The 12,065-nt window shown below is 51.0% G+C and overlaps 1 protein-coding gene and 1 non-coding gene across 19 annotated transcripts in view, besides 1 other annotated feature; both read right to left on the bottom strand.

Moving 5' to 3' along the window:
- ABCC10 (ATP binding cassette subfamily C member 10) overlaps positions 1-12,065 on the bottom strand; it is a 24,454-nt gene extending 12,389 nt beyond the window's left edge. For 8 of the 18 annotated variants that reach the window (XR_007059383.1, XR_007059384.1, XM_047419496.1 and 5 more), the window contains exons 1-7: positions 11,467-11,743; positions 6,246-7,464; positions 4,758-4,985; positions 3,699-3,855; positions 3,359-3,468; positions 1,593-1,672; positions 811-982 (exon numbers count right to left, since the gene is read on the bottom strand). Coding sequence is in view for 15 of the 18 variants with exons in the window: in XM_047419496.1 (XP_047275452.1) it covers positions 811-982; positions 1,593-1,672; positions 3,359-3,468; positions 3,699-3,855; positions 4,758-4,985; positions 6,246-7,464; positions 11,467-11,627 (2,127 nt within the window). In the remaining 3 variants the exon portion in view is untranslated. The other 10 variants (NR_146762.2, XM_047419502.1, NM_001198934.2 and 7 more) reach the window with 9 other exon arrangements.
- Positions 4,986-5,064, bottom strand: MIR6780B (microRNA 6780b). The gene has a single exon (NR_106894.1). It is a non-coding gene; the product is annotated as a microRNA 6780b (primary transcript).
- Positions 11,419-11,488: an enhancer, noted in NCBI's record as "active region_24600". NCBI's record gives its function as "activates an Ori minimal core promoter by ATAC-STARR-seq in GM12878 lymphoblastoid cells {active_cell/tissue: GM12878}" and the evidence as "EXISTENCE:reporter gene assay evidence [ECO:0000049][PMID:35858748]".

The raw sequence follows: 12,065 nt of genomic DNA, 5'->3' as shown, positions 1-12,065 counted from the left end.
CTCAAAAACACAAAACAAAACAAAACAAAACGAAAATTAGCTGGGTGTGGTGGCTCACTCCTGTAGTCCCAGCCACTTGAGGGGCTGAGGTGGGAGGATCATTTGAGCCCGGGAGGCAGAGGCTGCAGTGAGCCAAGATGGCGCCACTGCATTCCAGCCTGGGGGACAGAAAAAAGACCCTGTCTCAAAAAAAAAAAAATTAATCAATTTTAAAAAAGTAATAAAAAGAATGACAGCTGGATACAGAATGCCCCATGGTCAAGGTTAAAAGTGCTCCTTTTCAGGGACATTCCACATTTACCTGGGTAGGGTAGTGGTGGTGACATTTCTGAAGGGGACAGCAGGGTTGGGTGGGAAGTCAAGGGAGAAATCTGGAATCTCTTCTCCTATAAATATAGTACTCTGGACTGGGGGCAAGGGGAAATCTAATAGCTTGGCAGGTTTCCCTAGGGTAACCTGCAACCAAATGAAACTTTGACTCTTCCAAGCCTTCCCAGTGGGAAGTGGGTATGGAGAAGGGGACAAGGAGCCAGGCTGTGCAGAGCTAAGCCCCACAGGTGGAACCCTCCCTAGCTCCAGAGGCCTTAGGGCTCTTCCCACAACTGTGCAGAACACACAGTCACCACCCTACTGGGCCCTATCAGAAGGGGCAGCTGGACACTCTGGGAGGACCACAGTCCGATGGCCATTCCTAGATAAGTGATGCCCGAGTAGAAGCAACCCCTTTCCAGAAAAGCAAAGCTCCTGGTTTGAGGTGTCAGGGACACTGGAGAAACAGGCAGCTAAGAGGTTTCAAGGCCAGGCACTCACACTGAGGTCATCATTGAGGGCGCAGGCTTCTAGCACCTCCTTGTACAGCTGTGCATCAAATGTCTTCCCAAAGAGGATGTTGTCTCGGATGGTGGCAAACTGGATCCAGGGTTCCTGGGTGGCCAGGCCAAAGCCCTTGGACAGCCCCCGCACTGCCACATGCCCACGCAGCCTGCAGAGAGCCAGGCGAGCAATATGAGGACCAGCTCTCCTCTGGGTCCCTCCATGCCCAGCCCTTGACTCCTAGAAGCCTCCCCAGGCTGCTGTCTTCTACACAGGGTCCCCCTTCATGTCACATGACTGAGATGGCAGCTCCTGAGGTCAAGGGGTCCTAATGAAGCCCATTCTGGGCGAAGAAGGGAAGAAATAGCTCTTTGGCTACAGCCAAGCAGCTGTTGTACTTACATCTGTTCAGGAGCTCAGTGGAGAGTATGGCCACCACATTGTACTTGTTCCCATCTGAAAACAAGGTCCTCCCTCAAACCTATGCTCCTCTCTGGATCCCTTCTCTGCACAGCCACATTTCTGAAAGAATAGCTGACACTGGATGTTTCCATTCCTTTGCTGACTATTATAGCATTTAAAACACTCTGGTGTAATGATTACAATGATTCGCTTTCTTGGCCACCTCCTTCTTTCCAGATTGAAAACTCTCCCAATAAAGGGACCATGCGTTGCTCTTCTTAGTACCCCTGACCCCCAAAAGGTGTCCAACACATAAGAGGGGCTCAGTGTTTGCTAAAGGACAAAGTAAGGACAGGGGTGCATAGGAGGTTGGTTACCTGTGGAGCTCTCCAGCGATGGCAGCCAGCAGGGAGCTCTTCCCACAGCCGACCTTCCCCACGATGCCCACCAGCATACCCTGCAAGGAAGCCACACAAGCATCTGCTATTGGTAGGAGACAGGACAGAGGTGGCAGTGGTCTCCCTCTTGACACTCTGGGCTGCCAGTCCTCCCACTGAGGCTTCTCTTTTCTTCTTTCTTTAGTGTGTAGGGAAAGAATTCTCCGCTTCACAGGCTGATCAACAAATCAGGCTCTAGAAAAGTAGGGTGTTTTTTTCTCCACTCAGAGTGGCTATCAGTTTCACTGTCTATGTGAAGGGCCTCTGAAGGGGAGCAGCATGCCAGAGAGAATGGGAGGAAACCACCCAAGAACTTCCAAGGTAAACTCTGAGACAGGCACTCCAGAACGGGAGAGGGAAGGGTAGAATTCCAGGCTTTAGGGCCTGGATGATGGGTTGGCTAAGTCGACCTGTGGCTAGAGTTACCATATCTCAGGGGAAAAAGCAGAGCTTTGCATAGATCCCTATTTCTGTGGCTTAAATTTTTCTGTTTACCTTTTTTTTTTTTTTTTTTTTTTTTGGTCATATGTTCATGGAGCTATCTCCCTGCTCAAAAAAATATAAAAAAAAAAAAGTCCTAGTTCCTTCTCTAGAAGGGACTGGGCTCTCAGAAGCTCTATCTGCCTGTGATGCCCCAACCCTGCCAGCCAGGGTTGACCCAGCTACAAGTGGGCACCACTTCTGAGACCTTTCCATGGGAATTTGGGATCAGGTCCCAGAGGCAGCTTCTCCTTGTTGGCTGTAACTTGTAAACTCGAGCATTCTCTGTAGTCACATCTTCTGCTCAGTGGAGGGTGTGTCCACAGAGAGAAGAGAACCAGGCAAATACAGGGAGAGAGGCACACAGAAGCAGAGAGCTCTGCGAGTTGAGGCCTGGTTCTGGGCTGTTTCTAAGATCCAGCTGCGTTCCTGCCTTTGGATTCTGCAATGTATCTCTACATCCTTATTATAAATTCTTGTTTGCTTAAGCTAGCTCTAGTGTGTTTCTGTAACTTATACCCAAAAAAGCCCCAACTAACACATTAGCAAAATTCCTTTGTACAAATCTAGCCTTGTCTTGCCTGAACTAAGAGGAAAAACAAAACATACAGCCCAAGCCAGAAACGTGAGCCAAATGTGGTGGAGGCAATTCAGCCACCACCAGAGAATGCCGGGTTGAGCTGTGGGGCACAGGGTTGGACAAAGGTCAGGAGAGAGTGAAAACTCAGAACAGGAGGTGAACAGGAGTTGGCTTATTGCCAGGAATGCCCCATTTTAAGTTCTTTGTATGCTGTAGCATGAGTCACAGGGTGTGATTGCTTTTCACCAGCCTAAACAGAGGATCCCCATTTGCAAAATATTTCTTGGAAGCACTTGCTGGGCCTCTCCCCCAGATCCCCAATCTGGGGGAGATGCTACATAAACCCCAGGGCCTGTTCTGAATGCTGCAGCTTCTGAGGGACATGGAGAGACAAGCACACCCATTGGTCTGGACTGGATGGATACAAGCTGCCTAAAGACCAGAGAGAGGTGCAACTATTCTGAGATTCAGATGTGAGGTGTCATCTCCTCATGATTAGAACCTGCTCACCAAATGCCTATCCCTCCTGCAGCAATTAGAGCTGCAGAGCCATCAGCTATGATTGGCTCGGTCACTGCTTCTCTGACATGAGTTCCCATCTCTCTCGTTAGTCTGAGGACTCTCCCAGGGTGTCTGTCCAACAAACCTTTTTCACTTCGAGATGACTGATGAAGGTCTCCAGGCTGGTTCCAACTGGGTCCCAGGAGAACAAGGCTCCATGCAGCTCCAATACTGTAGATGGCTCTGCAGGGGGATCTGAACAGAGAAGCCACTTGATTTGGGCTCCTAATCTACCACAATCTGTTTGGGGAGGGTAAATCATGTAATTCACTTGCCAGCCCCATATCTACCTGCCCAAAGCTAAATGAGTCTGTTTTGGATTCCGCTCTCTCTAAGCCCTCTTGGTGACATCTATGCGCAGCACCCAAGTGGCTCCACTTCCCTCCTCACCCTGTGCCAGGTTCTGCCCACTAGCTTCCCATTACCTGGGCTGTAGTAGGCCTGGGGGTTGTGGTTTGGAAGGTCGAGGAAAAGCTGGATCCGGTCCAAGGACACTTTGGCCTCCAGGAGACCATTGATCACCCAAGGGAAGTTGTTGAGAGGAAGAATGAGCATTCGCACCAGTGCCAGGGCCGTGAACACCTGAGTGAGGTGGGTGCAGGGTGAAGCCCCAGGAGTTATCTAAGGGCCTGTTTCTATGGGAAGCCCTGTGGACAGGTCTACGGAGGGAAGAACTGGGCAATGACAGAACTGAAGGGCTGGCTGGCCAATCCTGGGATCAGATGTGGCAGAGATGGTCACTTAAAGAATCCTAGAAATTCCAATGTTCCTCAAGGGATTCAGGTTGCATTTTTTTTTTTCTTGACGAGTCTTGCTCTGTCACCTAAGCTGGAGTGCAGTGGCATAATCTCGGCTCACTGCAACTTCCACCTCCAGGGTTCAAGTGATTCTCCTACCCTAGCCTCCTGAGTAGCTGGGATCACAGGCATGCATCACCACACCTGGTTAATTTTTATATTTTTAGTAGAGACAAGGTTTCACCATGTTGGTCAGGCTGGTCTCGAACTCCTGACATCAGGTGATCCGCCTGCCTTGGCCTCCCAAAGTGCTGGAATTACAGGTGTGAGCCACCACGCCTGGCCAAGGTTGCATCTTTTTAACTAGGCAGGCCTAGCTCATTTTGAGTCTTTTTTTTAGAATTTCCAAGTAGCAACATCACCTGGCCTTGGCTAGACCCAGGATTGCATCATACATTTTTTTCCTAAGGCCATTAGAACGAGGATGAAGAGACCTAACCCCAAGCCTGGAACTGAATAGAAGCTGGAGTGAAAGGTAGAGGAGAGGAAAGAAAGGAACTCCTTCACAGAGGGGAGGGTTATATATCCAAGGCCCCCACAAAAAGGTTTCTTCAGTTTTCCCTTGGTTGAGAGATGAGGCAGTCAGGGATCCCTCCCTCCTTCTCAGCCAGCACTGAGGGCCCAAGCCTCTGTCTTCACTTCGCTGAAGTCTCCTTGATGCTGGTCCCCTTCCTTCCTGGTCCTCACCTTGGTGGCAGTGAGCTGGTGCCCCATGAGGACATAGGTGATGAAGATAACGATGGAGATGACAACCGGTAGGGCAGCCCACAGGTATACACAGGCCGCATCCAGGTATTTGATGACCCGGAGTCGCCCCAGCTCTCGAGCCCGGCAGGCCTCTACTCGGGCTCCCAGTGCCTGCTCCCACCCGCAGAACTTGATGACCCGAATGCCACTCAGCAGCTCTGTCACAAGCTAGGGAAAGGAGACAAGGGAGAGGCGTGAAGTGGAGGCACTGCTCATGTGTCTTCCCTGCCAAGCCTTCCCCAGGCTGCTGGCAGAATGTTCAGTACTCTAAGCTCCCAGATACTCTGCACTGCCCTAGTCTTGGTTTTCTTCCTCACCTCAGTACTTTCTGGAAATCCTGCCCTTCAAATCCTTTTCAGCCCTGGGTTGCTTCCCCTCCCAGTCTCTTACTTCTCCATTTGCTCCAGCTGGGGACAGCTTGGAGTGGGAATTCCCCACCTTCCTAGGAGGAGTGGTGGAAGGTGGAGCCAGGTCACCACAGTGGAGTAAAAGCTCTCCTCCCATTAGATGAGGGACAAAGGGCTATCTCCCAAAACCAAAAGATGTGGGCTTCGGGGGCTGGCCCCCCAGTTCCGGCCCCCGGCTTGAGTGGCACAGAAACTATTCCTGTAGAAGTACACAGGCATAAGAGGCCACACTACAGCCCAGGGTCAAACAGGCTAATGGGCCCAGGGAAGATGGGCAAGGGCCAAAACTCCTCGTCTGTAGCTGTCACAGGTAGGGGAAAATGCCTCATGCCATAACCATCTATCAACCTCCCTTCCCTCCAGGAGCACTCTGAGCTGTTCCACTAAGGGTCGACAACTATGCTGTATGAACCCCCAGGACTGCCATCCCCTTTGTGAAGGTACCCACAATCACTGCAGAACCCAGAGCTCTGCAGATTCAGCCAAACCCTAAACACCTGGAGTTGACCCAGGCAGGAAAGTGACCTATTCCCTTCCCCTCAGCCTACCCAAAGAGGCAGCTGAGGTTCTCCTAGGTCTCTACATGCAGCCATGGGGTGGTCTGTGCCCTAGATAAGGAGGTTGGAGACTTGGGTCCCAGCTCTGGCCCTAAAGACCTGTTTGGAGCCAGACAGATGACTTCCTACCTCCCAGGGTGGCCACATGTATTCAGAGCTTACTTTGTGACTGGCACTACACTAAGCATTATCTCATGAGATCCTTACAACTCTACAAGGTAAGCTACTACTATTCTCACTTTACAGATGAGGAAGGGGAAGCCCAAATAGGTTAAGTGACTTGTCTGAAGTGATTGAACCAGTAAGTGTAGAGCCAGGATTTGAACCCAGGTCTACCTTTCTCCAGTCTCAGCTCTTAACTTTGAGGTCACTCTCACTCCCTCAGGTAGTGTGCATGGGAAGACCTGGGGACCTGGGCTGGGTGGGGTCTCCAGATAGCTGAGGGACCCCAAGTACCCGCTCACCTTAACCCGCGCATCCTTGTGCTGTAGCATTTCCTGGTTGCTGGCCATGATGCGGGTGGCAATCACTTTGTTGACGGGTACCAGCAGCAGTGCCAAGATGAGACCACCCACGAAGGCCACGCCTACCTGCTGGTACAGCAGGTAGAGGGTGATGGCCAGTTGCAGGGGCAGGCCCCAGGCTTCATGGAAGCTCCCAGCAAAGTTAAGCAGCCGTTCAGAGTCAGTGCCTAGTAGGTTCAGGGCCTCCCCAGTAGGAGGGCGGCTGGGCCCCAGCTGTAAAGCCTTGCAGTACAGGATGTTCAGCACAGCCCCCCGTGCCTGAAGTGTTACCTTATATACCTCATACCCATACTGATTCTGCAGCACAGCACCCAGCACAGCCCCACCGGCTAGCCCCAGAGCATAGAGCAGGCCGTGGCTTAGTGGCTCCTGCCCCTCTTCCAGGAAGCCCACCAGTAGGGAGAGCAACAGGGGCCCTGAGAATCCCAACATGGTCCCCACCAGCTTCAGCAGTCCAAGTGCCAGATAGCACCGTCCAAAGGCCCCATACAAGGCCCTCCACAGCCGTGCCCCCTCCTGCCAGTGTGCCTGGAAGACACGAGCCAGGTAGGTTGGCTGCAGTCTGTGGGGGAGGCGGCAAATGTCCTGAGGCTGCCGGAGCTCTCCACAGGCCCCACGGGCCAGCAAGGGTGCCAGCCAGGCATAGGAAAAGCGTGACAGCCAACTCTCCCCATCTTCAGCCACCTCAGGTTCTTGATCCTCGGGCAGGAGGGGCTCCTGAGCCCAGGGTTCTCGTGGTCCCCCAGGAGCTGCCCATCCCAGTGCATAGGCCAAGAGTGCAGCCAGCTGCAGGATGAGCAAGCATAGGCGGGCCATGGGCCCTGGGAGAAGTGGGGGCAGAAGTGTGCCTCGCTGGCAATGCCACAACACGGTCAGCACTAGGGCTGGAGCTGGCAGCAAGGCTACCAGGGCCAAGGCCAAGGGACCCCGGGAGTGGCCATGAGGGGAATGTGCCAACACCCACAGGGCCAGGCTGTGGCTGATCCAGGCCACAGCTGCCACGCACCCTGCCAACACCTCTAGCCCTATGGGTCCTGGGCCTGCCCCTGGTGGCAAAGCAACTGGAAGAAGGTCTAGCAGCGGGAAGACGGAAAGCAGGAAGGAAGCTGCAAGTCGGAGGCGCCATCCAGGACTGCAGGGTAGGATGTAATCTGGACTCCTGGGGACAAGGGGGAAGACAAGGAGGCACATCGTGGCTGACTCAGGAGCCAGACATACCCCTCACCTCCAATAATTCACTTACCTAAGGAATCAACTCCCTTCCTGCCTTGCACATCTTATCCCTACTCCACTTTACCTCAGAACCCAGGGTCTTTTCTCCCAGGAAGTCTTCCCAGATGAACCTAACTCATTTTCTGACCAACTGAGCTAACCGGCCACCTGAACCTAACTCATTTTCTAAACTACCCACACCATTTCTGATTCATGTTTTTTTTTAAACCACAGACATTAACAATTTTGAGGTAAGATTGTACTTAACATGAAGACTAACTAGGAAAAAAAAAATCCTGGGTACTACGTTTGCTACTTTGGTGATGGGATCATTAGAAGCCCAAACTTCAGCATCACATAATATATCCATGTATAATAACAAACAAGCACATATGCCTCATGAATCTAAAATTTTAAAAAAAATCCAGGCTGGGCGCCGTGGCTCACGCCTGTAATCCTAGCACTTTGGGAGGCTGAGACGGGAGGATCGCCTGAGGTTAGGAGTTCGAGACCAGCCTGGCCAACATGGTGAAACCCCCATCTTTACCAAAAATGCAAAAATTAGCCAGGCATGGTGGCAGGCACCTGCAATCCCAGCTACTCAGGAGGCTGAGGCAGGAGAATCGCTTGAATCTGGGAGATGGAGGTTGCAGTGAGCTGAGATCACGCCAATGCACTCCAGCCTGGGTGACAGGGGAAGACTCCGTCTCAGGAAAAAAAAGAAAATCCAAAGTTTTCATGCAGATAACTGATAAAGGGTACATATTCATTTTTACAAAAGGATCCACCTAACAGTACCCTTAAATTCACCTGAAGCACTATTAAATGAATAAAAATCGGACTTACATACAGCTTTTATATTCTAATATGGTAGCCTAAACTTTATAAAGGCTTGGAATATTCTACTCTCTTTCCACTGATTATAGAAGGTGGTGTGGATTGCTTTTGCGACTCCTTTAGCTAAAGAAAAATATCTCTTTTTGCTTGTGTTTATATCTTCTTGGCATAAAAAAATGTTTTTAATAAACAAAAGGTGATCTGTCTGCATTAAGAATCAAATACAGGGGCTGGTCACAGTGGCTTATGCCCGTAATCCCAGCACTTTGGGAGGCTGAAGCAGGCAGATCACTTGAGATCAGCAGTTTGAGACCAGCCTGGCCAACATGGTAAAACCCGGTCTCTAATAAAAATACAAAAATTAGCAGGGAATGGTGGCACACACCTGTAATCCCAGCTACTTTGGGACACTGAGGCACGAGAATCGCTTGAACCTGGGAGGCGGAGGTTGCAGTGAGCTGAGATCGTGCCACTGTACTCCAGCCTGGGTGACAAAGAGAGACTCTGTCCAAAAAAAAAAAAAAGAATCAAATACAGGAAAACGTATCTGCAGCAGTGAGTATCAGGATGTCTTGAAAGTTCATACAAAAAGAGGACTGAGTCTGTTACACCCTTTGTGGCACGGCTAGGTTACTAAAAAAGTTTACTTGTAAGCTAAAATGCAGAGTCTTGCTCTGTCGCCAGGCTGGAGCGCAATGGCGTGATCTCAGCTCGCTGCAACCTCCGCCTCCCAGGTTCAAGCGATTCCCCTGCCTCAGCCTCCCGAGTAGCTGGGGGTTTTCTTAAAAGTCCACCTGATGACAGTTATTTGTAGGGATTTAGATGGGAATAAAAAATCAGCCTTTAAGAATTCTATTTCTGGGCTGGGCATGGTGGCTCAAGCCTGTAATCCCAGCACTTTGGGAGGCAGAGGCAGGTGGATCACTTGAGGCCAGGAGTTCAAGACCAGCCTGTGTAACACAGTGAAACTCCATCTCTAGTAAAAATACGAAAACTGGCCAGGCATGGTGGCACATGCCTGTAGTCTCAGCTACTCTGGAGGCTAAGGCAGGAGAATCGCTTGAACCCAAGAGGTGGAGGTTGCAGTGGGCCGAGATCGTGCCACTGCTCTCCAGCCTGGGTGACAGAGTAAGACCCTGTCTCAAAGAAAAAAAAAATTTTTTTCTATTTCTGGCTGGGCATGGTGGCTCACATTTGTAAACCCAGAACTTTAGGAGGCTGAGGCAGAAGGATTGCTTGAGCCCAAGAGTTCAAGACCAGCCTGGACAACAAAGCAAGGCCTTGTCTCTACTAAAAATAATTTTTTCTTTTTGAGACAGAGTCTCGCTTTGTCGTCCAGGCTGGAGTGCAGTGGTGCAATCTTGGCGCACCACAACCTCTGCCTCCTGGGTTCAAGCGATTCAAGATGGGGTTTCACCATGTTGACCAGGCTGGTTTCAAACTCCTGACCTCCAGTGATCTGCCTGTCTCAGCCTCCCAAAGTGCTGGGATTACAGGCATGAGCCACTGGGCCCGGCCAATTTTTTGTATTTTTAGTAGAGATGGCATTCTGCCACGTTGGCAGGCTGGTCTCGAACTCCTGGCCTCCTACAGTGCTGGCATTACAGGCTTGAGCCACTGCACCCGGCCTATTAAAAATAATTTTTAAAAAAATTAGCCAGGTGTGGTGGCATGCACTTGTGGCCCCAGCAAATCAAAAGGCTGAGGTGAGAGGTTGCTGGAGCCCAGGAGGTTGAGGCTGCAGTGAACTGTGATTGCACCACTGTACTTCAGCCTGGGCAACAGAGGGAGACGCTGCCTCAAAAAACAAAACAACAATAACAATCCCCCCTCCCCCCCGCCACACACACACACACACACACACACACACACACACACAAGAAAGAAAAGAAAGAAAGAAAAGAAAGAAGGAAAAGAAAAAAATATATATATTTCCTAAGATGTGGGGACCCAAGAAAGAACACTGGGCCCTTGGAGGCATAAACTGGCCCCAAGTTGGCCATCAACCAGCCTCATCACCCCTTCAAGTCTCTTTTCCTCTCTGAATCTCACTTTCCTCACCAGTATGGTGAGCAGTGAGTCTCAAGTTAAAGCCTTCTGAGGCCCTTTCCTGTCTTAGATTCTCGATCTCTCTAACCCTTCTCAGCAACACACACAAGGCTGATAAGTGAAGTGAAGCACAATTTCTATTGATCACATGATGGTCTTTCTTGCTTTCCCAGGGGGCGGATGAATCCCTTCCTTGGATAGGAGAAGCTGTGTATCCGCTTGGTCTGGGAGGAATCCTGATTTGTTTCTTACACAGAGACAAAAGTCTAGAAGGGTTTAATCACCTAGCATAGACAGCCTTCTCAGAAGAGCAGCTATTAAAAATTGGCACAGTCTTTTGGGAACTCAGTCTAATGAGAAAGCAAGAAAGACCTCTTGGATAGAGACACTTCCCCCCATCAGACTAGGAACTCCCAAAGGCAGAGACCACACCGTCCTCCTATCTTCTCGGCAGCCAGAATGAGACTAACTTTAGTCATCTCTAGCCATACAAGAACTAAATACAAAATCAAGTTGAGTTTAGCATCCACACCTTATAGCCCTTAATTGGGGAAGGCTTAATGTTTGATTTTGCTCTTCTTGTCTATCTACTGCTTCCTCTTCAGCTGAGCCTAGGTATGCTTTTCTTAATCTGGAAACACTAAGGTTTCATGGGTTGCAGTGGTGAGAAACTGAGCCTACAACTTAAACACATCATCGCTTTTGGCTAAAAACGTTGTTCCCCCAATTCTGCCTCCAATTCATGACAGCTGAGTCCGGGTAGCTGAAAATGGACAATTCTGATGATTTCTGATACTCATCGGACCTTTAAAAACATGCCAGGCGCTGCACTATATGCTTAAATTCATTATCTCATTTAAACCTCCCAACAATGAGACTCAGAGAAGGCAGGTACTTGCCCAAGAACAGCCACATTGCTGCTAAGTAGCAATGCTTAGATTTTATTCTACTTCTGCCCTACTCCAGAGACCTCGCTATTCTGGTGACACTGCCGGAAGATGTAGGCCGCGGGTGAGATCTGCAGGCACACATGGACAGATGCCTTGCGCCCGTCTCTACCCACCTCGGGGTGCCCAAGTAACAGGCACTGAGCACGGCGAGGAGCGCGTGGGGCAGGGCGCTGAGCACCAGCTGGGTGAAGCAGTGGCCTGTGGTGTCCCCCTCCCACAGCGGGAGCGGCCACGCTGCGCTGCTGCCGCACAGCTGGGCCAGAAGTCGTTCCATGGACGCCTCACCTGAAGGGAAAGTTGAGGGTGACGGCTGTGCAGGGTAACAGCCGGCTTTGCCTGCACTTCCCAGCCGGGTCTCCCTGTCTCCAGCCCCGCCCTGGAACCGGGACCGCCCGTCGCTTCCGCCCCGAAGCCAGACCCCGCCCATTCTCGCGGTACCAAGGGTAAAAACGGGAGGAGGTTTCCCCAGTGGATTTCTGGACGCTGGTCACCCACCTTGCCATCTGTTTTTCCCCTCCCGTTTCTCCGCCCCCAGGCATCCGGAACCTCAAACCTGAAGAAGCTGCTGTGCACCGGATTCCGATATCCTGAGAACTGGTGTATGCAAAAAAAAAAAAAGTACTGCCCGGCCGGGGTGCTGGGCCCGCCCCGGCTGGCACCCCACCTAGAGGTTGGAAGACCTAGCCGGCGCTATTCGCCACGCCCATATGCT

Source organism: Homo sapiens, chromosome 6, assembly GCF_000001405.40.
Source record: "Homo sapiens chromosome 6, GRCh38.p14 Primary Assembly".
NCBI classification, from domain to species: domain Eukaryota; kingdom Metazoa; phylum Chordata; class Mammalia; order Primates; family Hominidae; genus Homo; species Homo sapiens.
This window is presented reverse-complemented; position numbering and strand designations above follow the sequence as displayed.